Source organism: Homo sapiens, chromosome 17 (assembly GCF_000001405.40).
Source record: "Homo sapiens chromosome 17, GRCh38.p14 Primary Assembly".
NCBI lineage: Eukaryota > Metazoa > Chordata > Mammalia > Primates > Hominidae > Homo > Homo sapiens.
This window is the reverse complement of record NC_000017.11, coordinates 30,495,432-30,521,745: the sequence shown is the minus strand read 5'-3', so window position 1 is coordinate 30,521,745 and position 26,314 is coordinate 30,495,432. Positions and strand designations below refer to the sequence as shown.

The 26,314-nt window shown below is 39.1% G+C and overlaps 1 protein-coding gene across 12 annotated transcripts in view; it reads right to left on the bottom strand.

The window, feature by feature from the left end:
* Positions 1 to 26,314, bottom strand: part of GOSR1 (golgi SNAP receptor complex member 1) — a 50,185-nt gene that overhangs the window by 5,847 nt on the left and 18,024 nt on the right. For 8 of the 12 annotated variants that reach the window (XM_005258070.6, XM_005258071.6, XM_047437111.1 and 5 more), the window contains exons 7-8: positions 10,837 to 10,866; positions 1,725 to 1,807 (exon numbers count right to left, since the gene is read on the bottom strand). In XM_005258070.6, coding sequence (XP_005258127.1) covers positions 1,725 to 1,807; positions 10,837 to 10,866 — 113 coding nt within the window. The remainder of the gene's footprint in view (positions 1 to 1,724; positions 1,808 to 10,836; positions 10,867 to 26,314) is intronic. The other 4 variants (XM_017025374.3, XM_047437109.1, XM_017025375.3 and 1 more) reach the window with 1 other exon arrangement.

Below are 26,314 nucleotides of genomic sequence, written 5' to 3'. Positions count from 1 at the left end.
CAATTCATGGGAACCAACTCTAAGGTCTATATAATCAGACACTGGTGAATTATTAATATTTTCAAAGTTACTTCGCAGCAGAAGGCAGATACAGGAGGAAAGTGGACTAAACTTTAGCCCTGACCCACACCCATTTTTTTTGATTTTTTTTTTTTTTGAACACATTCTTTTGGAGTAATTGTAAAATTCCCATGTGACTTATTTGTATGAGGCGCTATGCTAGGTTCCAGTATACTACTTTGCCTTAAGGGAACTTAGTGTTGGGCTGGGCAGGGTGGCTCACACCTATAATCCCAGCACTTTGGGAGGCCAAGGCTGAAGGACTGCTTGAGCCTAGGAGTTTGAGACTCGCCTGGGCAACATGGTGAAACCCCATCTCTACAAAACATACAAAAATTAGCCGGGCATGGTGGCACGTGTCTGTAGTCCCAGCTACTCAGAAGGCTGAGGCGGGAGGACTGCATGAACCTGAGAGGCTGGAGGTTGCAGTGAGCTGAGATCGTGCCACTGTACTCCAGCCTGGATGGTAACAGGGTGAGACTCTGTCTTAAAAAAAAAAAAAAAAAAAAAAAAAAAAAGAGAGAGAGAACTTATGGGAGAGATGCTTACAGAGCAGTAGAGAAGAGGTCACAAAGAAGAGTGGTGGTAAATTCTAATGAACAATTGAGAAAGGCTTTAGTGTTTTAAATCATCAGCTATCTGACTCACACTTCTATTTCAAAGTTTCAAAAGTTTCACTAAATACAAACTCTTAAATTCACTGATCAGCTTTTCTGGCTGGCAATTGAGTTCATAGTTTAGTAAAATGAGATAATGTATATAACAGCACTCTGTAAATTTTATAGCCCTATCTAAAATGTGATTTTAGACATGTGGTTTTATACTTAGGGTGACAAGGCAAGAACAAAATTCACAGTGGACTGGAGAATAACAGCACACATCAGGAGAGTCTTTTCCTTAGGCAAAGACATATCAAACTAAAAGTGAACTCAAATTATCTAGGACTACAAGATACTCAGCTTTTGAAAATTCTAGGTTCCTCCCCCTTTGGCAGTTGGGGAGGAAAGCTTTTTGCCTAGAAGGCTTGTCTTTTCAGAGGTTCGCTGAATGAAATGACTCAGAGTGCCAGGCTTTTCTGGTTCCCTAGTGGGTTTCTGGGAAGTATTAATAATCCTAATTTAAAACAGAAAACTGAAACATTTTAAAGTAGAGGTTACAACAAACAAGTGGAGAATGTATCCTAGAATTCAGCCTGTGCATAGAGTTACAAACTCCATCAGTAGCTATAGCTCATCTGCACGGGTGGCTGTCTCCTTCCTTCCCCCTTCCAAGCATCTGCCACTGACTTATCTCTAAATGGGAAAAACAACAAAGGCATATAATTTATCATGTTTAGGTAAGAATAATGTATAGTGTGGAGTTCTAACATGAATTTAAAAGCTTTCTAAAATGTAGAAGAAATTGGTGGATAATTTTTAAATTCACATTTATAATTTTTTTCTTCTACATCTAGTAGTAAGAAACTTCTGAGGTGCAGTCTTTTAGGAATGGTACTAAAGAGCATAAACTTTCACAAAGTAGGAATGCACAGTATATTCATATTATGCAATTACTGATGGGCTCTACTGCTACTGATGATGGCAACCTGCCCCCTATAAAAGCACACACAGACACTTCTCCCCTCTACCCTCAAAACACAGACTGCGAACATTCAAAAAGGATACTGGCCAAAGTGTTCATTTTGCTGTGAATTGACTTCAACATTCCTCTCTGTGAAGTCATATTTTCTTTTGTTGCCATAGCAATGCTGCAAGGGGAAAAAAAGATGACAAATCACCATTTAAGATTATCCTGCCTGGAACCATCATGCCTTTAAAAGTGAAAGAAAACTACAGTGAGCAACATCATCTTAGAAAGCACTGTGCCAGAAAATAAGGGGAAAAAATCACTTCCGAAGCCACTTTACCACTGCGCTTTTTCCAAATGACTCCACTGTTCTCTGATATCTTTTTATACAAGGCAGTAAGCCACTTCCTATGTTTGCTTCAAAATAACAAACAAAATAAGGCATAAACAGACAAATCACATATTACAAAAGCTTCTTAAAATTTAAAGTTTAAAAACTTTAAAAAGTTTAAAAAGAGTTTAAAAAGAAGCCAGCTACTAAAATATCTTTAATCAGGAAAAACTGTTGAAAGGGAATTATAATTATAAAAATAGAAAAGAAATATAAAATATCATAAAATGTGAATACACAACCAGCCCTTAATTTATGAAGAGATTATGTTCCAAAATTCTACTTGAGAACCAACTAGGCATGCATGCAACATTATGCTGGGTTTCCATGATGGCTGACAAAGGTCACAGACTCATTAAACGTGGCTAAAACAGCTGGGTGTGGTGGCTCACGTCTGTAATCCCAGCACCGAATTTGGAAGACCGAGGTGGGAGGATCACTTGAGCCCAAAAGTTCAAGACCATCCTGGGCAATGTGGTGAAATCCCAACTCTACCAAAATAAAAAATTAGCTAGACATGTGTGCCTGTAGTCCCAGCTACTCGGGAGGCTGAGGTGAGAGGATCAATTGAGCCCAGGAGGGGGGGGCTACAGCGAGCTGTGATGGAGCCACTGCACTCTAGCCTGAATAATGGAGCGAGACCCTGTCTCAAAAAAAAGAAAAGATTAAAGAGAAAAGAGAAAGTCACTTTTGGTCGAACACAATCTCTTCCCTGTGACTACCTTGATGTCCTGTTTAAAAGATCTCTTGAGTTAATATCCTTTTTTTGGGGGGGGTTGGGGGTTGGGGGACAGGGTCCTGCTCCGTCACCCAGGCTGGAGCCCAGTGGTGTGACTGTGGCTATTGCAGCCTTGACTCCCTGGGCTCAAGCAATCCTCCCACCTCAGCCTCCTGAGTAGCTGGGACTACAGGCATGTGCCATCATGCCTGGCTAATTTTTTTTTTCTAATTTTTAAATTATTTCTAGAGATGGGGTCTCCCTATGTTGCCCAGGCTGGTCTCAAACTCCTGGGCTCAAGCCATCCTCCTACCTCCGCCTCCCAAAGTGCTGGAGTTATAGGTGTGAGCCACCAAGCTTGGCCCTAAGTTAGTATCATTTTGCTATCACTTCCAGGATTATTCATTTCCCATAGTCTTATCTCTCTGGACATTAGAGCCCTAGAGGGCAGGGTCAGTATCCACTTTGATATGTAACACTCAGAGGAGTGCTTTGCATGTTGACATTATAAATAGCAACAGAAAATGAAATGCTGTTGAGCAATTTTGAAAATATCTATTTTTTTTTTTTTTTAAATCAAGAGATTGAGATTTGGGGAAGATGATGGTGAGAGTATAAATTCCTGACTTGACCTTTGGTCCATTTCCTCCATGGAGTAGCACAAGAATAAAAGCAGACACACTAAGGAGGGTCCATCTGAGGCCCCAAGTTCCCTTGAGATCTCCAGGGAAGAAAGCCAGGTAGAGGGCTATACTCTCTGAAGTGAAGAGAGAACCAGGGAACTGACAGCAGGGAAGCTTAGATTTTTCTTCAAGCTTGAGGCAAAGACCTAGGGCTTCCTTGCTTCCTGAGGAACCCAGACAGTGGAAGACTATGGATCTGCATACACAGGGGTTGCAGTGAAATTGCTCCCAGGCACTGAAGCTGGGAAAGGACTGCTACATGCAGCCAGAAAGATGACAAGCAGAGAGCCGATAGTCTTGTAGCTGGTGTGATGCCCAGCCCCTAAGGGAAGAGCCCAGTGATGGATGCATCACTGCCTGATATGCCATTGCTTAAGAGGCTCTCATAGCTGGATCTATCTGGGAGCTGAGTGAACACATTTTTGGCCAGGTAAGGTCTCACAGAGTAAACCACCATGTATCTTATTGAAGGGAAATGCTAGAAGGAATATTCTAAACAAATGACACATGAATCAAAACTTGAATTTCAAGATTTGAGATGGCAAAAGAGAAACAAAAGTGTGTAAGGAGGTATATACAGGTTGAACATCCCTAATCTGAAAATCAGAAATCCCCAAGACTTCTGGTCCCAAGTATTTTGGATAAGCAACATTCAATCTGTAAAAGAATATTTGTTGAAGCATTTTTGGAATAGTAAAAAATGAACAACAACAGCAAAAAGACCAAAAAAAAAAAATCCCCCAAAACTGGAAGTAACATTTGAATGGTATAATAGATTATGATATAACCATACTTTGGTTATTAAAAAGGATGAGTTAGTATTATTTCTATTAACACGAAGGGGTGTTTATAACATATTGAGTGATTAAAGCAAGCTACGGAATGTGCAGAATATCAATGCTGTAATATTTTCAGAAACAAACACCCTTGGGGATGTTTGTATGACAGTGAAAAAGTTGTATATCAGTAAGATACACAATTGTCACTTAACACAAGTTACTTCAGAGGTTAAGAATGGAGGGGTACTACCAGGAGATTGACTTTTCCTTTATCCATTTTAGTATTAGTTAAGTTGTTACAATAAGAACATTTTGATAATATACAAATGTACTTCGATAATATATAAATATCTAATAAAGAAAAATGAAAAGAACATTAGAAAAATCCCACCTGAGTGATTAAGAAATGTTAACAACATCTGAAGCTACACACACACACAAAATTAACATGGACATGCTAGGATTTAGATCACTTTCAACTGAAATCACAGGCAGTGATTACATAGTATTTGGGTATTTAAAAAAATGAGTTAGGGCTAGGCGCGGTGGCTCATGCCTGTAATCCCAGCACTTTGGGAAGCCAAGGCAGGTGGATCACTTGAGGCCAAGGAGTTCAAGACCAGCCTGGCCAACATGGTGAAACCTCTTCTCTACTAAAAATACAAAAATTAGCCAGGCGTGGTGGTGAGCGCCTGTAATCCCAGCTACTGGGAGGCTGAGGGTGAAGAATCACTTGAAGCCCAGGAGACAGAGGTTGCAGTGAGCTGAGATCGCGCCACTGCACTCCAGCTTGGGTGACAACACAAGACGCAGTCTCAAACAAAACAAAACAAAGTTAGTATTTCTATTAACTTGAAGGGATGTTTATAACATATTGAGTGATTAAAGCAAGCCACAGAATGTATAGAATATGAATCCTCTAATAATTACAGAAACAAACATCTTTGGGGATGTCTGTATGACAGTGAAAAAGGTATCAGAAGGATACACAACTGTCAGTTAACACAAGTTGCTTCAGGGGTTAAGAATGGAGGGGTACTACCAGGAGACTGACTTTTTCTTTTTCTTTTTTTTTGTTTGAGACGGAGTCTTGCTCTGTCACCCAGGCTGGAGTGCAGTGGCGCGATCTTGGCTCACTGCAACCTCCGCCTCCCAGGTTCATGCCATTCTCCTGCCTCAGCCTCCTGAGTAGCTGGGACTACAGGCGCCTGCCACCACGCCCAGCTAATTTTTTGTATTTTTAGTAGAGACGGGGTTTCACCGTGTTAGCCAGGATGGTCTCGAACTCCTGCCCTCGTGATCCGCCCGCCTCAGCCTCCCAAAGTGCTGGGATTACAGGCGTGAGCCACCGCGCCCGGCTGACTTTTTCTTTATCCGTTTTAGTATTATTTAAGTTGTTACAATAAGAACACTGTACTTGTATAATATACAATATACAAGTGTCTAATAAAAGAAAAATGAAAACATTAGAAAAATTCCACTTGATTAAGAAACGTTAAATAACATTTGAAGCTACACACACAATTAACATGGACACACTAGGATTTGGATCACTTTCAACTGAAATCACAGGCAATATCTGCAAATTTAGAAAATGAAAAGTCCTAGAGAATATTACAGTTCTTCCAGGGTCCTGATTTCCTATGTGTTTTAATGCTGACAATCCCATCTTCCCAATACTTTTAGGCCTATTCTAGAAAAATATCTGTTCATGTGGAGATATTATGGTCTGGTCTTTTGAAATGACATTTCAGAATAAAGAAATGTAACTGGGTAAAACTAAAACAAACAAAAAAATACATTAGCAGCTCCAAATCCACCACTGTGATGCACCTCAATAAAATTATGAGTCAAGCAATGATTTTAAAAAGTTTTCCACAGATCTCAGAAATGCTCAAGAATGGAAGGGATCACTCTCTCTGAGGGCAGAACTGTGGAGTAGGGTTAAAAATGGAGATTTGTAGAAATTTGTACAAGGAGTTGCCATAACCCAAAATTGCCCTTCCTAACGCATGCAGCTAGGTGGCTGCCCCTAGTCCAGTAGAAGACCTAGCTCAGGAGAAGAGACATAGAGGTCTGGCAATTTGAAGTCCCCAGTGAAACAGCCAGGTCCGCCTGATCACGCATGGTGAGGCCTAACACTCAACAAGTGTCACCACCCTATGCTCACAGGATGAGTTTCCCAACACACATTCTTTTCACAACATGGAGAAACACCATGTCTACAGAAAAATACAAAAAAAAAAAAAAAAAATTAGCTGGGCATGGTGGTGTGTGCCAGTAGTACCAGCTATTCAGAATGCTGAGGTGGGAAGATTGCTTGAGCCCAGAAGGTCAAGGCTGCAGTAAGCCATGATCATGTCACTGCACTCCAGCCTGGGTAACAGCAATGAGTGACTGGAAGCTCATCCTCTTTTGGAGTCACACCCTTAAATATGAAGGAACAGCCAATAATCACTAGATGTGTGAGGAGGTAACATGAAAGGCAGAGTTCAAATAAACCACCCAGCAAACAGAAAAGTGAGGCTGAGCAAACAGGGCAATAAAGGAAGCTCAAGAAACTCTAAAATAAAATTACATTTAATGTTTTCAGAGAGATAAAAGATTACTACATCCACAAAACATACACATAAATGTGTGTATCTGTCTCTCACGAAAGAGCTCATGTAAATTAAATGAAGAGCTGATATAAAAATGTAATAGAAGAATTGGAAGGAGAAATTCAGTAAATCTCCCAGAATGTTAAACAAAAAGATCAACAGAAACAGAGAGAAGGTAAGAAAGGATCAATTCAGAAGGCCCAACACATAACCTTTTTAATATTTTTTTGCATGAAACAACAGAGAAAGAAGAGGGAAGAAAATGATAAAGAACGTTAAGATAATTTCCAAGAACTGAAGATGAGTTTCCAGATTGTAAGAGTTCACTCAATGCCCAGAGCATTGGACTGGAAAAGACGCATGCCACTGTGGACTTTAGAAGCATGCCAGCCTGGACTTTAGAAGCAATGCCTTTAAAAATTTCAAAATTATTTCCAACTCAGAATTCTATCTTGGTTAGGTTAAATAATGAATCAAGAATACGAGCAGAATAAAGACTTTTTGGATGTGGGCAGTCCAAAACAATTTACCTCCTGTTCTTTCTCAGGAAGTTACTAAGGACATGGTTCAGCATAATAAGGGAATAAAGTAAGAAAGTGGAAGGCACTAATCCCAAGTAGGTAATCCAATAGAGGAAATTATTTTAGGGTAATGGAGGAAGGACATCTAGGACCAGAACAATGTTGGAGGTGTAGAGAATCACCAGTCAAGATTAGAGCAGAAGGAGGGAGCGATGTCAACCACACAATACACTGAATTTTTGATCCCCAAATGAAAGGAACACAAGAAGAGCTTAACAAACAACTTCCTTTGCATCATTTAGTTCTTATTCATAATTTTTCAGTTTGAGAGATTATGACAAAATGTGATACATTGAAAATGTGGCTGTTTTGTAGAAAAGTTTACAAGGTATTGCAAGTAGATACTATGGTCTTGTATAAAGTAACAGCTTTCAAACCTATGCTGGCCCATATATCAATCTTTGAATGATATATTATTATTTTTTTGAGACACGGCCTCACTGTGCCATGCAGGCACGGCTGCAGTAGCACCATCATGGCAGCCTTGACCTCATGGGTGCAAGTGCTCCTCCTGCCTCAGCCTTCCAAGTGGTTGGCTTACAGATGTGCACCACCATGCCTAGCTTTTTAGAAACAATTTTGTAAAGATGGGGTCTCACTATGTTGCTCTGGCTGACTCGAGTTTCTGGCCTCAAGCAGTCCTCCCGCCTCAGCCTCCCAAAGTGTTAGGATCATAGGTGTGAGCCACCATGCTGGGCCTGCTTCTGTTTTTCAAACTGGAACTATCACCATTTCCTGTAGACTTTGACTCACAAGTGGACAGAGGTTAAAAAATAATTTCTGCAAAGCACTTTGTATTCCTTGGGGAATAGATATCATCATCATACATTATGTTAACTTGTTGAAGATGCATGATTTCCAGTACCACAAAGTATATCTAGACATACTTTCTCATCTCATTTCATGACTCAGAGTCAAGCAGAATGAAATCTAGGCTGTTATTTCAAGGGTCAAATATTTAGAAGCAAAATATAAGCTCTAAATAATACATAATGCTTTTAAAATGATAAATCATTGATATGCTTACAGGAACTTCAACTTTCTTACCTGTTACCTGCTCTGTGAACTGAACTCAGTCACCTTTTTTTCAACAACAGATAATACAAGTCATACATTTAAAGGTTAGAAATGAATTTATAAATGTTAAAAATGCTAGTTCTTTTCAATAAGTTGATGTCAAAGTCTATATTCAGTTGCTCACATAGTTTTAAAATGTATCTCTAAAAGGAAAAGGTAAATTTTTCCATATGGAATATGCAAAAATACTATTTGACACAAACTTTATATTCTTCATAAGAAATCATAACTAGCTTTATACTCAGTGAAACTTTTCTTGTAATGCCTATCATATTTTGAAACAAGGGAAAATACTGAAATAAAAGACCTAATAACATGTTTTCTAACTAGCAAAATAATAGTAACAATTCAATGGTTCTCAATTGTTCCTTTTAATTTCTTTTTTGCCCTATGAGGTACCCCAAGTTTTTATACTCATATTACCAGCCCTTAAATAGGCCAGTTCTGAAGTGAAAGCTTAATTAAGGCAGCCTGGCCCTAGAAGAGCAGGCAGAAAGAAAGGGAAATAAAGGAAAAAAGAAAAAGGATGATTGGGAAACTTTAAGTAAAGAATTCCTGGCAAAATGTGATCAGATCTCATGTGCTGATGAAAAGGAAAAAGTTACAAGGAAGAAACTTCAGTCAACATAAGGAAATTCTGTGAAAACTTTCTTCAGGTGGAAGGCTCAGCACATACAATTTAAACAAAAATTCAAGACACAATCATGGCTTACTGTTATAAAAGACTAAAATGTATTAAGATGATTAATGATGGAAAATATTCCAATCCACTGAATAAAGAATCCATGAAGCCATACAAAAGAAACAGATATTTAGGAAACGAACACTGAAATATTTAGGAGTAAAGAGCATCAATGTATGTTAAACTTTGTAGAAGTTGGGTAAAGGGTATATAGGACTTCTTTTCACTACTGAAATTTTTCTGAAATCTGAAATGATATCCAAATAAAAAGCTAAAAAAGAAAGGATTGGTATTAATAATATAGCTACCATTTACAGATTACCTAGTATTAGATCAGGCATTTTCCTCACATTATCCTTAACAGTCTTACAGATAAGTATTATCATCAATACTATATTTTTAAACAGATAAGAAAATGAAAGTTCCAAGAAGTTAATTATCTAAAGAACAGAAATCTAAGATCTAATAAACAGCACAGGCAGGTTCCAAACCAAATCAGACCCAAAACCTTGTATTCTTTCTGCAATGTGGTAAATATAGCAGTGGTTTAAATAGAGCTCTGTTTCTAGAGTTGGACTAAGACTGAATCAGGATCTGAATCCTTAATACTATTTACTAGTCATGTGACCACAGGCAAATTACTTAATTTCTTTTTTGTTTTGGAGATAGTTCCTAATGATTTGTGTCTATCTAATGGGTTATTGAGAAAATCAAATAAAATAATGCATGCAAAGTACTTTTAGCACAGGTCCAATATCCATGGTAAGAATACAAATGTGGCTGGGCGCAGTGGCTCACACCTGTAATCTCTGCACTTTAGGAGGCCAAGGTGGACAGATCACCTGAGGTCAGGAGTTCGGGACCAGACTGGCCAACATGATGAAACCCTGTCACTACTAAAATTACAAAAAATTAGCCAGGCATGGTGGGACACACCTGAAATCCCAGCTACTCAGGAGCCTGAGGCAGGAGAATCACTTGAACCCAGGAGGCGGAGGTTGCAGTGAGCCAAGATGGCACCACTGCACTCTAGCCTGGGCAACAAGAGTGAAACTCCATCTAAAAAAAAAAAAAAATACAAATGTTTGTTATTGTCATGTACTTTGATTTACCTTTCCTGAAAACCAATGCTTTACACATTGGTGAATTCTAGAGCACAGAGACCTAGTTAATGTACTTTTTTACTGTCATAAAATAGATACTTTAAAATTCATCAAACCTAGAAAGCTAAGCAGTTCAAAACAAGAAATAAATGTCCCTTAACTTAAGCAAGAAACTAGTTCAATGTTATTACAGATACTATGAACTATTACTGCAGTAGATTTTCTGCAGGTGCTATAACAGCAAAGTCTATATGAATGGCATAAAGTTATTTATCAAATTATGCTTTAAATCACTTTGCTTTAAAAAGTGGGAATAAAAAGACTGAGATTGAAAATATTAAGTATAAATTAATTGGAAAAATTAACCTAAGTAAAACAGCTTAATTAAAGTAACTATGGAAATGTTACTTTGGGTGTCAAACGTCTCTTGTAAGGAAAGGACATAGTAAAAATTTCATCTTTAAGGAGGATAAACGAACTTTGATCTGTTCATTAAAATGTTTTTTCTTTAATTCTAAAACAGCTGTAACACTGTTCATTAAATTTACGTGCAAACAAACAAAAACCAACAAAGCAAAACAAAAACTTATTCCTACCTTATTGTCTCTTCTATCAGACGATCTGAGCTGCAAATAAAAAGAAAAATTCAAATTCTGAATTTACTAAATGCACATGTAAAACCTGTATTAATTTTTCTACATCTATAAACTTTTTAGTCATTTATGTATACAGAATGTCTAGCTTTTTCAAAGCATCTGGAGAAAATTCTGGACTCTAATTTTTTTCTTTTTTAAGACAGAGTCTCGCTCTGTCACCTGGGCTGGAGTGCAGTAGTGTAATCTCAACTCACTGCAGCTGCCGCCTCCTAGGTTCAAGCTATTCTCCTGCCTCAGCTTCCCAAATAGCTGCGAATACATGCACCCGCCACCATGCCTGGCTAATTTTTGTATTTTCACTAGAGATGAGGTTTCGCCATGTTGGCCAGGGTGGTCTTGAACTCCTGACCTCAGGTAATCTGCCCACCTCGGCCTCCCAAAGCTCTGAGATTACAGATGTGAGCCACTGTGGCTGGCCTGGACTTCGAAATAAATTTAATTTCATTCGCATACAATATATATAATTTCCATCTTACGACCAGGCACGGTGGCTCACGCCGGTAATCCCAGCACTTTGGGAGGCCAATGCAGGCAGATCACTTGAGGCCAGGAGTTCGAGACCAGCCTGGCCAACATGGCGAAACTCTGTCTCTACCAAAAATACAAACATTAGCTGGGTATGCTAATGTGTGCCTGTAGTCCCAGCTACTCGGCAGGCTGAGGCACGAGAACTGCTTGAACCCGGGAGGCATAGGTTGCAGTGAGCCGAAATCATCATGCCACTGCACTCCAGCCTGGGCCATAGAGCAAGACTCTGTCTCAAAAAAACTCCAAACAAATAATTTCTATCTCACTTTCGTTAGCTTAAATCTATTTTTTCCACAGAGATACCTGACAATTAGAGTCAGAACAGTTTTAATGACAGCATAAAGAAATGAACTTTCTCTTTAAATAGCTCAAAGTTGTCACTATCATCTATTCAGAACTTAAGAATCAGAACCAACTTGTTGAGACAGGATAGGCAAATATAATTCTGATGTCTATAAGTAGTAAATATTTACATCTTAATGTTTATTTCTTTTTTGGGAAACAGGCTTTTTTTTAACTAAAATTTCAGCTTACTAAACTTTAGAATTCAAGAATCTTAAGAAACCAAATACACCTTTTATCTGTAAATTGTCTGCCTTTATGCAGCACACACTGGAAAGAAAGAAACAAACAAAGCCATTTTAGGGAGAAATGAATAGGTAAAGTTTGGAAAAGGGCCATCTTTACAGCAGAAGTAGGAAAACAAACTTCTAGACATCTGTATCCACTTGGCATAAAGTACACAGTAGGCACTCAAATAAATATCTGCATGTATTTTTCCAACTACTTATTTCCAAAAGAATTTCTAAGTTCATGCTACGAAGTCAAGGTTTCATTATAAATTAGTGGACTAGGTAATCTAAGTTACTGCATATATTAGGGAACAAATGAGCTTTAAAAAGTCATAAATACCGGCCGGGTGCTGTGGCTCATGCCTGTAATCCCAGCACTTTGGGAGGCCAAGGCAGGTGGATCATGAGGTCAGAAGTTCTTGACCAGCCTGGCCAATACAGTGAAACCCCATCTCTACTAAAAAATACAAAATTTAGCTGGGCACGGTGGCTCACACCTGTAATCCCAGCACTTTGGGAGGCCAAGGCAGGTGGATCATGAGGTCAGGAGTCCTTGACCAGCCTGCCCAACACAGTGAAACCCCATCTCTTCTAAAAAATACAAAAATTAGCTGGGCATGGTGGCGGGCACCTGTAATCCCAGCTACTCGGGAGGCTGAGGCAGGAGAATCGCTTGAACCCAGGAGGTGGAGGTTGCAGTGAGCCGAGATTGCGCCACTGCACTCCAGCCTGGGCGACAAGCTAGACTCCGTCTCAGGAAAAAAAAAAAGTCATAAATACCATATATAAATCCTGTTATTAAAAATTTCAAAAATTACAAAGACGGTAGTGAAAGACAGACTGTGGCTATTTAAATGCTGAATCTACCACTTATTAGTTATTTGACACAGGGCAAGTTTCTCCATGCCCCAGTTTTCTCATCTGTAGACTAGCAAGGATAATAAAACCTACTTGTTCAAATAAAGGGGTTTGTATAGTGATTGGATCAGTACCTGGCACACAGTAAGTGTCAAGTATTTTTTGCTATTAGTTTCTCAATAACTACACATTGTAAATCTAAGCAGAAAATTGATATAAATTTCCAGATAAACTCACTATTCTGATGAAATCTATGATTATTAACTATGCACTTACTCTTCTAACAAACATGTATAGAAGCACCCCTGAAGGGCACTGGGTCAGAAAGTGGCTACAAAGATATGGCACTAACCTGCCAAGATCTTACAATGGAGATAGACAAGACACATGCCAAAAGGCATCTGGTGAAGTGGCCACAAGGTCACAAAAAAGGGGGTTAACTTGGGTTAATACCTCCTTCTTCAATATAATGGTTTGGCTGACTGTCTTCATCAGGGCCACTTAGCACATTAAAGAGCATAAACATAAGATATTCCAAAATCTAGGAAGTATAATATGAACATAAAGATTTATATTGCCCAAATCAACAAACTAGTTTTGTGCCAACAGCCTTAATGAAGATAAAATAAATGAAATAAACTACTAAATAAAGTAAAAAAGAGCAAACAATCTATTAATTTACTAATTTTGTTAAGAATAATGATAGCTAATACTCACAGAGAGCTTACTATGAGCCACGTCCTATCCTAAATGTCTTACTAAACAAGTTAAAACATAACTTCATCCTCCCAACAAATCTATGAGATTGATTCTAAAATTCTCTTCACTTAGGAAAAACTGGGGCCTTGAGAGATTTCTCTGTACCATAAGATGCTGTTTGGTAGCATTTTGCCCCCAGTAGAGCTTGTTTCAAAATTGGAGTCAGTCCTCTCAAACCCCTCTGCTGCTTTATCAACTAAGTTTCTACACTCTTCTGAATCCTTTGTTGTCATTTCAACAATGTTTACAGCGTCTTCACCAGTAGAATCCATCTCAAGAAACCACTTCTTTTGCTTATCTGTTAAAATCAACTCCTCACCTGTTTACGTTTTATCATGAGATAAGATTGCCGCACAATTCAGTCACATCTTCAGGCTCCGCTTTCTAACTTTTTTTTTTTTTTTTTTTTTGAGACAGAGTCTTGCTGTGTCGCCCTGGCTGGAGTGCAATGGCACAATCTTGGCTCACTGCAGCCTTCGCCTCCTGGGTTCAAGTGATTCTTCTGCCTCAACCTCCCGAGTAGCGGGGATTACAAGTGTGTACCACCACACCCAGCTAATTTTTGTATTTTTAGTAGAGTTGGGGTTTCACTATGTTGGCCAGGCTGGTCTCAAACTCCTCACCTCGGGTGATCCGCTCCTCTTGGCTTTCCAAAGCGCTGGGATTACAGGATTACAGGCATGAGCCACCACACCCAGCTCAGGCTCCACTTCTAATTCTAGTTCTCTTGCTAGTTCTGCCACATCCGCAGTTATTTTCTCCACTGAAGGCTTGAACCCCTCAAAGTTATTCATGACGGTTGAAATCAATTTCTTCCAAATTCCTGTTAATGTTGATATTTTGACCTCCTCATGAATGTTCTTAATGGCATCTAGAATGGGGACTCCTTTCCAGAAGGCTTTCAATTTACTTTGCACAGATCCATCAGAAGAATAACTATCTATGGCAGCTTTAGCCTTGCAAAATGTATTTCTTAAATAATAAGACTTAAAAGTCAAAATCACTCCTTGAACCACAGGCTTCAGAATGAATGCTGTGTCGGCTGGCATGAAAACAGCACTCCTCTCCTTGTACATCTCCATCAGAGGTGCACTGTCAAAGAGTAGTAATATTTTGAAATAATTCTTTTTTTTCTGAGCAGTAGGTCTCCAGAGTGGGCTTAAAATATTCAGCAAACCATGTGGTAAACAGATGTGCTGTCTTCCAGGCTTTGTTATTCAATTTAGAGAGCACAGGCAGGGTAGATTGAGCATAACTGTTAAGGGCTCTAGAATTTCTGGAATGGTAAATACACAATGGCTTCAATTTAAAGTCACCAGCTGTATCAGCACCTAAAAAGACAGTCAGCTGTCCTTTGAAGCTTTGAAGCCAGGCACTGACTTCTCGTCTCTAGGAGGAAAGTCCTAAATGGCATCTTCTTCTAACAAAAGGCTGTTTATTCTACACTAAACATCTGTTGCTTAGTGGAGCCACCTTTATCAATGATCTTAGCTAGATCTTCTGGGTAACTTGCTGCAGCTTCTACACCAGCACTTCCTGCTTCAACCTTGCACTTCTATATTATAGAGATGGCTTCTTTCCTTAAACCCCATGAACCAACCTCTGTTAATTTCAAACCTTTCTTCAGCAGCTTCCTCACCTCTCTCAACCTTCATAAAGCTGAAGAGAGCCTTGCTCTGGATTAGGCTTAGGCTAAGGGAATGTTGTGGGTGGTTTGATCTTCTAACCAGACCATTAAAATTTTCTCCATATCAGCAATAGGGTTGTTTTGCTTTCTTATCATTTGTGTATTCACTGGAGTGGCACTTTTAATTTCCTTCAAGAACTTTTCCTTTGCTTTCACAACTTGGCTAACGGGCACAAGAGGCCTAGTTTTCAGCTTAGATTGGCTTTCGGTATGCTTTCTTCACTAAAGGTAGTGGTTTCTGCCTTCTGATTGAAAGAGTTGTGCAACTCTTCCTTTCACTTGAATATTTACAAGCCACTGCAAAGTCATTAATTAGCCTAATTTCAATACTGTTCTGTGTCAGGTAATAGAGAGGGGCCTGAGGAGGAGTGAGTTGGGAATGGATGGTGGATGACACAGTCAGAACACACACAACTGGCCGGGCACGGTGGCTCATGCCTGTAATCCTAGCACTTTGGGAGGCCGAGGTGGGAGGATTACTTGAGTCCCCAGGTGTTTGAGACTAGCTTGGCCAATATAATGAGACCTTGTCTATACAAACAATTTTAAGATATCCGAGTACAGTGGTGTGCACCTGTAGTCCCATCTACTCAGGAGGCTGAGGTAGAAGGATTGCTTGAGCCCACAAGGTGGAGGTTGCAGTGGGCTGGGATCATGCCACTGCACTCCAGCCTGGGGGCAACTGAGAAAGACCCTGTCTCAAAACAAAACAAAAAAACCCCCACACATACACAACATTTATTAAGTTCACCCTCTTCTATCAGTGAGGTTGTAAGCAATTACAAGAGTAACATCAAAGATCACTGATCGCTATAACAGATATGATAATAATGAAAACATCTAAAATACTGTTACCGAAATGTAACACAGAGACACGAAGTGAGCATATGCTGTTAGAAAAACGGCACTGCAAGACTTCCTCGACACAGGGTTGCCACCAACCTTCAGTTTGTAAAAAATAGTATCTGTAAAGTGCAATAAAGCAAAACACAAAATTTGGTAGGCCTGTACATGAGATTTCTTTGTATTATTATTTTTTTTCTTTGTAGAGCTGGGGTCTCACTGTCACCCAGGCTGGAGTGCTGTGGCACCATCACAGCTCACTACATCTTTGAACTCTGGGCTTCAAGCAATCCTCCTGCCTCAGCCTCCCAAGTAACTGGAATCACAGGCATAAGCCACCACACCCGGCCTCTCTCTATTATTTCTTAAAACTGCATGCAAATCTATAATTAACTCAAAACAAAAAGTTAAACATTTATAAAGTGACCAATGTACCAAACGACAATAACAAAAACCCAATTCCAATTTAGATTGGCTACAAAGCTACATACCTTAAGTGGTATACAACTGTGAAGAAGCATTTAAAAAAACAGATAATCAGTCTGTGGAAATACACTTCTAACTAAATAAACTCAATGTATCAGCCTAGAAAGAAATATAAAATTACAAAGCCAAGCACTTCACACAAATCGTCAGAAAGCCAGCCAGGTACACTTTATCATTTCCACTATCTGCTTTCTATAATTCTCTTGTATCTGTTCTCAACCATAGAGGTCAGAACTAAACTAGCTAATAAACTAGCCTAACTACTACACTTTAGTTGGAAAATAAACTCATTATAATTTGTATTCAATGTTCCTGAGGAACTGGAGTTGAAATGGACGCTAAGGAACAACTTTCTGTGTCATTACATATAAAGAAAATTCTTTGAAGTTGTTTGTGGCACACAGATAGAATCCTTGTTCTGTGTAATGAGACCCAATTTTAGTACTCATTACGTAATGAGTACATACATCTTAGGTATACTTTCCGAAAATGACATTTTGACCAATTTAAATCACATTTTACATGTAATGAAACCATTTTCTATTTACATGAATCAAATAAAGTCTCATAAAGCAAACACTTACGCCCCCCACTTATTTCCCACTTTTTGCACAAAATTGGATTTTCATAGAATAGGTTTTCGTAAAAGGATAAATGGTCACTGAAATTGGTCATTTTATATATTTGAGATTGACAACTATCCTCAAATTACAGTAATTTTACAGCAATACTGGAACTACAAGTCAAAGAAAAGAGTGTTTGCTGGATTCACTTGAAAATGAAACCAACTGGCCAGGTGTGGTGGCTCACACCTGTAATTCCAGCACTTTGCGAGGTTGAGGCAGGTGGATCACCTGAGGTCAGGAGCTCGAGACCAGCCTAGCCAACATAGTGAAACCTTGTCCCTACTAAAAATACAAAAATTAGACGGGCGTGGTGGCGGGCGCCTGTAATCCCAGCTACTCGGGAGGCCGAGGCAGGAGAATTCCTTGAACCCGGGAGGCGGAAGTTGCAGTGAGCCGAGATCGTGCCATTGCACTCCAGCCTGGGCGACAGAGCACGACCCTGACTCAAAAAAAAAAAAAAAAAAGTTAAATGAAACCAACCTAAAGAAAATGAAAATTATAATCCCAAATATGCTACCCTACAGAAGAAGGGGTTTTTCTTCCTTTTAAGTCCCCTTACACATCAGTCATCTTTTATTAAGTCCTAAAATATCCTGTAAAGCATATTTCAAAATATACATGAGTACGCAGGAGTCCTGCTCACAGAAGGGATCTTTAACTTACAGGAAGACGATGCTGACACTAGCTTAACCATGCATTTAGCACACCACAGTTACAGTGAATCACACAGGAATTCCACACACATTCCCTACCCACTGTCATCCTTAGCTTATATGGTGGCATCAACAGAGAAAAGCCAGGGATTCCTAAATGTCTTCTCAAATTGCCCAGTCTCCAGGTCTTTACTCATTTGGCTAAGACCAAATAAAGTAAACAAACACCATTCATTAAACATATCCTGGACGTGTGGACACGACAACAGAGTGACTCCATGCAGATGGCATCATCTGGTTAAAATTAAATTTAAACTTATTTTCCTTTGGGGTATAAAATATATAATTCAAGTGGAATTGTCCTTTTTAAGCAAGTACTTGATAATAGCCCAGAGATGTTCTATAAAGTCATCTAGAGCCTGTAATTAAGAAACAAATTTCCATTTGTCTCAAGACCAATTTAAACTAGCTGAAAACAATAAGCTACATTTCATCACCAGTTATCGTGCTGAGGAATCACTAAAGCCATATTTAAATAATTCTCTTTTTAAAAAATAACTTATTTCCCCCAACACACACACTACAAAAGGCACACATTTCAAGAGCAAACATGTGATTTCAAGCATGTATTTTAAAGCAATATAAACCAACAAAATGTAAGAACTTGGCAAAATCACTTAGATAGTATCTTCTTCCTCTTTTAAAATGGTAGGAAAGTAATAAGCAAATAAATAAGCAACTAAATAAGAAAGCAAACAAGCAAGTACATACTAAATAATGAATAATAAATAAAAATTTAAAAATCAATCCCTTTGCATGCTGCAATAATTGATGAGGTTGTCACTAACCAATCAGACCATTTACATTAAGCATTGTGGTGAGATAGTCTTTCACTTACAGTTAACCAGAGAGATCCTTAAGATCTACGTCTTACTTATTTCTACATTTCTTATTTAATCTCTTCAATTATGTTAACTGAATACAATTAAGCTGCAGTAGAATACATATATACTGTTTTAGTGCTAAGAGCTTTTTATTTTACAGAGCACATTTGGAAAATACAGGAAAACAAAGATGAAAGTGGAAACCAGCTGTAACCTCTCTTCCATTAACACTGATATGGTGGCATAATTCCTTTCAGTCTGGGTAGATGAAGGAATATCTTTATTTGCTTTGTTCATGGGTTGTTTAGCACAAACATTTTCATAATCACAGCAAGTTACCGGGAGACAGAAAGTGAAGCACCTGACAGATTCCTGCTCAGTTCAAGGAGAAAATAAAAAAATAAAAGCTGAGTCATTAGCAGTGAGATCCTAGAAAATCACTTTTTCCTTTTTAAAAAATGAATAGAATTATTGCTAGAACAATTTTAGACATATAGAAATATTCAGTAGAAAGTACACACTATACACCCGTTCTCCTCCACCTGTGATTACCTCTTGCCTTAGTGTGCCACATGTGTTACAACTGATCACCCAGTACTGATAAATTACTAACTAAACACCATGCTTTAGAGTTGACTCTTTGCATTGCACGGTGGTAGGGGTTTTGTCATGGATCCATCCTTGCAGTATCATACAGAAGAGTTTTACTGCCCTAAGTATCCTGTGCTTCACCTATTCATTCTTCCTCCATTTCCCATCCTCAACCCCTGAGAATTGCTGATCTTTTTACTGTCTCTATAGTTTTCTTTGTCCAAAATGTTATATAGTTAAAATTATACAGTATGTAGCCTTCACAGACTGGCTGCTTTTATGCATTTAAAGTTCCCCCATGTCTTTTCCAGGCTTAAAGGCTTATTACTTTGTATGACTGAATAATATTCCATTGCATGGATGTACCACCATTTGTTTATCCATTCACTTATTTAAGGACATCTTGACTGCTTCCAACTTTTTGGCAATTATGAATAAAGCTGCTGTAAAACATTCATGCACAGGTTTTTGTGTAAATGTAAGTTTTCAACTCATTTAGGTAAATCACTAGGAGCATGACTGCTAGAATGTATGGTAAGACCATATTTAGCTTTTTAAGAAAACTGCCAGGCTCGGCATGGTGGCTCATGCCTATAATCCCAGAACTTTGGGAGGCCAAGGCGGGTGGATCACGAGGTCAGGAGTTCAAGACCAGCCTGGCCAAGATGGTGAAACCCCATCTCTACTAAAAATACAAAAATTAGCCGGGTGTGGTGGCACGCACCTGTAATCCCAGCTACTTGGGAGGCTGAGGCAGAAAACTGCTTAAACCCGGGAGGCGGAGGATGCAGTGAGCCGAGATCGCGCCACTGCACTCCAGCCTGGGTGACACAGCTAGACTCTGTCTCGGAAAAAAAAAAAAGAAAAAGAAAACAAAACTGCGTAAGTGTCTTCCAATGTCGCTGTACCATTTTGCATTCACACCAGCAATGAGTGAGAGTTCCTGTTACTCCACTTCCTTCAGTGTTCCTTCTAATGTTGTCAGTGTTTTGGATTTTAGCCATTCTAACAGTTGTGCAGTGGTATCTTACTGTTGTTTTACTTTGCAGTACCCTAATGATACTTAATTACATTAAGTATCTTTTCACATGCTTAATTTATCATCTGTATATCTTCCTTGGTTAAGATGGCTGTTCAGATCTTTTTTCCACTTTAAAATTGTTGAATTTTAAGAGTTCTTTGTGGCCGGGCGCGGTGGCTCACGCCTGTAATCCCAGCACTTTGGGAGGCCGAGGCGGGCGGATCACGAGGTCAGGAGATCGAGACCATCCCGGCTAAAACGGTGAAACCCCGTCTCTACTAAAAATACAAAAAATTAGCCGGGCGTCGTGGCAGGCGCCTGTAGTCCCAGCTACTTGGGAGGCTGAGGCAGGAGAATGGCGTGAACCCGGGAGGCGGAGCTTGCAGTGAGCCGAGATCCCGCCACTGCACTCCAGCCTGGGCGACAGAGCGAGACTCCGTCTCAAAAAAAAAAAAAAAAAGAGTTCTTTGTATATTTTCATATAAGACCTTGTTCCTGGATTGGAAGATTTACAGTTGTTAAGATGTCAATTCTCTCCAAATGGATCTCTAGATTCAATATAATCTTATTTGAAATTTCAGCAGGCTTTTAAACAATGTGATATTAAAATTTATATGGAAGTGCATAGGACCCAGAGGAGTCAAAATAACTTTGAAGATACATGATAAAGTTAGGAGACTTATACACTACCTCATTTCAAAACTTATTATGAAGCTACAGTAACCAGAGTACAACTAGCCTAAGGATGGATCTGTAGGTCAACAGAACAGAACAAAGTTCAGAAATAAACTAGCAAGTGTCCAATTAATTCTCTAGAAAGATGTCAACATCTTTGAAAAGATTAAACAGAGGAAAAGAGTCTTTTCAACAAATGGTACTGAAACAATGGAATATACATGTGTTTAAAAAAAAATGAATCCTGACCCTTAACTTACACCACACACAAAAGTGAAGCCAAAGTGGATTATAAACCTAATGTTAAAGCTAAAACTGTATGATGTTGGCTGCAGGTTTAAAAACAAACAAACAAACAAAAAAGCTAAAACTAAAACTCCTGAAAGAAAACAAAAGAAAAAAATCTGTAACCTTAGGATAGCCAAGATTTCTTAAATAGGACCAAAATACATGAATCAGAAAGAAAAAACTGATCAACCAGATTTCATCAAAATTAAAAACCTCGGCTCTTTTGAAAGTCACCAGATGAAAAGAAAAGGAAGTCACAGGCTCAGAGAAAATACTTGCAAAACCTTTATCTGACAAAGGACTTACATCCAGAGTACACAAAGAACCCTTATAACACAATAGAAAAAAGCCCACAACAAAAGGCAAAAAGACTTGAACAGACCCCCTTACTAAAGAAGATATACAAATGTCACAATAACCTGTGAGTTGTGAATAATAAAAAAGAAGATACGTGAATGGTTAATAAGCACTTGAAGGAAGGCTTAACATCACCAGTCCTTAGAGAAATACAAATCAAAACCACAATAAAAACCATTACACTTCTACTAAAATGGTTACAATAGAAAGGCGTGTTGGCAAGGGCTTAAAGCAATTTGAACTCCCACACACCACTGACAGGAATGCAAAAATGGTATAACCACTTTGGAAAAGTTTGACACTTTCTTATAAATTGGAACACATCCTTACCATACAACTCAACAATACAACTCCAAGTATTTACTCAAGAGAAATGAGAACGGCAGGGTACAGTGGCTCACGCCTGTAATCCCAGCACTTTGGGAGGCCAAGGCGGGTGGATCACGAGGTCAGGAGATCAAGACCATCCTGGCTAACACCGTGAAACCCCGTCTCTACTAAAAATACAAAAAATTAGCTGGGCGTGGTGGCATGCGCCTGTAGTTCCAGCTACTTGGGAGGCTGAGGCAGGAGAATGTCATGAACCCAGGAGGTGGAGGTTGCAGTGAGCCAAGATTGCGCCACTGCACTCCAGCCTGGGTAACAGAATGAGACTCCGTCTCAAAAAAAAAAAAAAAAAGAGGAATGAGAACATGTGACCACACAAAGTTTTGTTTATGAATGTTCATAATAATTTTGTTTTTAATAGCCAAAAACTGAAAATAACCCAACTGTGCAACAATGGTTGAATGGATAAAGAAATCGTGGTATATCATACAATGGAAGTTATTCCGCTATTGAAAGAAATCAATTACTGACATTTAAGAAAAAGAATAAGTCTTAGAAACACTATGCTAGGTGAAATAAGTGCAGACTGTATGAATTCATTTGTATAAAATTCTGGAAAAGGTAAAACTAATCTATAGTGATAGAAAGCCAGTAAGCAGCTGCCCGGGACTGAGGGACGGGGACTGACTCAAAAGGGGCATAAGGAACTTTTTTGGGGTGATAGAAATGTTCTCTGTCTTACTGTGGTGGCGGTTAAAAGAGTCTATATATTTGTTAAAACGTACCAAACTGTAAACTTAAAATGGATACATTTTTACTGTAAGTAAATTCTACCTCAGTAAATCTGATTTATGAGGAAAAAGAATGGCAGCCTCGGCTGACCCCGGTGACACTCAGAGCCCCCCCACTGCTCACTTTCTTTTGCCCAGTGTGTCCTCTTCAGGTGCCAGAGTGAGACCTATAACCTGGGAGAGGGTTTGGACTATGAGTAAATGCGTGACGTTTCAAAATAGATCCATTTAATAATGTATGAGGAATGATACGGATTTAAGAAGAGAAGACAAAGGCATGGTCATGAGGTCTGAGTTTCAACTTTTCAATCTTTTTCTATCTCTACTTGGAGAACACCTACTCATTCCTCAAGAACCAGATCAGATGTTCGACTTCTCTAAAGCCCTTTCAGAAGCTTCAGCAGAGTAATGACTCCCTTTCATGTGCTCCTCTAGGGTACGCACAAACCTTTGCATATCATAATAAAGCACTTATTACTTTGCACTGGAACTACCGATTCACATTTCTTTTCTGCTCCCCACCCCACCTGGCTGAGCTCACTGAGGACAGGGATGATGCCACTATGCTTTACTCAACTTCTCTATCTCCAGCACCCAGCACAATACTTTCCACATCATAGATGCTCAACAAATGCTCGTTAAAACAACCAAAACTGGTACCAACAAATTATATGTGCATCCGGATATGCACATGAAGAAACAGGTGGAATGCAACTGAAATTTTATTATCTCCATCTAAAAAAAAAAAGGATTTGAATAAATAAAATGTTCATTATACTGATATATAATAAGACTAATGACTAATAAGAGTAATTTAAAAATAAATTGATTTTTTTTTTTTTTTTGGAGATGGAGTATTGCTCTGTCACCCATGCTGGCATGGAGTAACGCGATCTCAGCTCACTGCAACTTCTGCCTGCCAGGTTCAAGCAATTCTCCTGCCTCAGCCTCCTGTGTAGCTGGGATTATAGGCGCCTGCCACCACACCTGGCTTATTTTTGTATTTTTGGTAGAGATGGGGTTTCACCATGTTGGCCAGGTGGTCTTGAACTCCTGACTTCAAGTGATCCTCCTGCCTCGGCCTCCTAAAGCGCGGGAATTACAGGCGTGAGCCACTGCATCTGGCCATACATTGAGTTTTAATAGACAATCAGGGTCAGGTGACATTCATCTATCTAGTCCTACATGCCATTCTGGCATTGACGGGTTCCACAGGGCTGGAATCACTTAGCTCTAGGTGCACAATTCTAATGTATGAGTATACTTTTCTATTCTAACACCACTATAGGCAAAATGGCTCAATGTAATTTTAGAATTCGTCTACTCCATATCAAGCTCTGTAATAGGTTAACATTTTACATACATCCTCTCTCATCTTTGCAACATTCCATAAAGTAAGGGTTATTTCACCCATTTAAAAGACACTGGAAAGTCAGAGAATTTAAAGGTTCTTACCCCAAAAAGATAGAGTCCACACCAGGATTTGAACCCAGGACTCTCTGGCTTCAAAGCCCTGCCCTAATCATTTCACTATACTACCAATCCAAGGAATAAAGAAACTTAAGGTATCTTAGTCAGATAAAAGTGGTAAATTAATGAGAGGAAGATGAAAAAAAATTAACCCTAGAAACCAAGAAATATACTTAGTATTTTTATTATTATTATTATTTCAGAGACAGAGTCTTGCTATGTTGCCCAGACCAATCTCAAAGTCTTGGCCTCAAGCAATCCTCCCAACTCAGCCTCCTGAGTAGCGGAGATTACAGGCTTTACAGGCATGAGCCAATGCCCCCAGCAAGAAGTCTGTATGTTCTTATCATACATATGATTAAATGAAAATATACTCTAGGAAACCAACAAATTAGGATAATATTTTAAATATCATGACTACTCTAAAACTCTGCCAAAGGTATTTTTAAAATGTCAAGGATTTTTAAGCTGATGTGTTTAATGTGCACAATCTGCAATTCTAGTTGTAATCAATGACATGCCCATAAATCAGAGAGTACTTCTATGAAAACAGTCACAGCCTGTTAAGTATGGATAAAACTCCTCAGCTTTACCTTTTAGATGGTTCTATACAATTTCAGAATTCATGCCTCTTTCTTCAACTCTCTAATCTTATTATCCTTGGCAGTAAAATAATTTTACCAATTGCTTTCCCTATGACATTGTGAATGAAATTCCCATTTCTCTTTGCTAGGTATTGTTAGCTGCCATCTCTGGGAAGGAGAAAGTGTTTTTATAGACAAGCATGTCAAGGACAAATAATGGAGCTGAAATGCAAGGGTGGATGGCAAATAAATTGCATCTTGTGAACTAACTCCAACTAATTTCTGCCTGGAACACTGTGTTTAAAAGGATTCCTAGGCCACATCTGGAGGGACTCAGGAAAAAAACAAAAGAGAAGTAAGAAAGGTATGTGGAGAATCAGTAAAGTGTAGTGCCACAGTAGCCTAGGGTTTCAAGGAAAGGAGACTATGATATCAAGTCAGGCAGAGCAGCAGCCAAACAACATGAAGAAAAATGTCCATGAGACTTGGCATGCAGGAGATCACTGATGTGCCTATTGACAGCAAGTTCAGTAGTGTTGTGAGGGAAGAAGTCAATGGGCTAAAGCGGGAATGAGTGCTGACACAGAGACAGCAGGTGTAAACCAGAGACAGTGTACCGGATGGCTGAAGAGTCAAATACTTACACAGCAAATGGGGATAGAGACAAGTGTCCAATGCACGTATTGGCCTTCTCAGGACAAATATTCCATCCCTTAACAACTATAGGAAAGGGGTAAAGAGGGATACTCCTATAGGTCAATTTATAGAAAAGATCAAAACCTTAAAAATCTCAATGAAGTGGAAGCTAAGAACCTCTGTATCAGGTGAAGAGACAGGAAGGTCAAGAGGGGGAAGGAGAAGATTTGGTAAAGTTCTTGAAGAGAATGAGAACTAAACAGGGCTAGGCAAGCAAAAGGCATCAGGCAAGGCAGAGTACTCAGATGAGGTTGAAAATATTTAATAGTTAATTTAAAACAGAGTTAATCTGTATGACTAGTTGCTTTTTCTTTAGCCCTCTCATACAGAAGTAGAACAACAGACTGGATTGGGCTGGCATTTTGCCAGGGTACAGCAGGAAGACAGGGGCACAGGAAAGGCCCAATGTTGGGAGTATTTCAGTTAATCTCCTATGAGATCCAGGCTGGCTAAGGTAGCAAGGTAGGTTATAAGAAGAAAAATACAGACAAACTCATGAGACTGCAGAGGCTTGGAAGGAGAAAATGTGTTGGCTGACAGTGAGATGCAGAAGATTGCTAAGGTGACACACCTGTAGATGAGAAGGTGGTGGTCCCAGCCTGGGTAAAAGGTGACTGATCTACACCTGGTGATGACCACTGGCATTAAAGGAATCCAGAAGAGATGAGGCTTTTTCTGCTTGTGTAAGTTATCTCCTTATTCAAGTTTATCTTCACCACTGA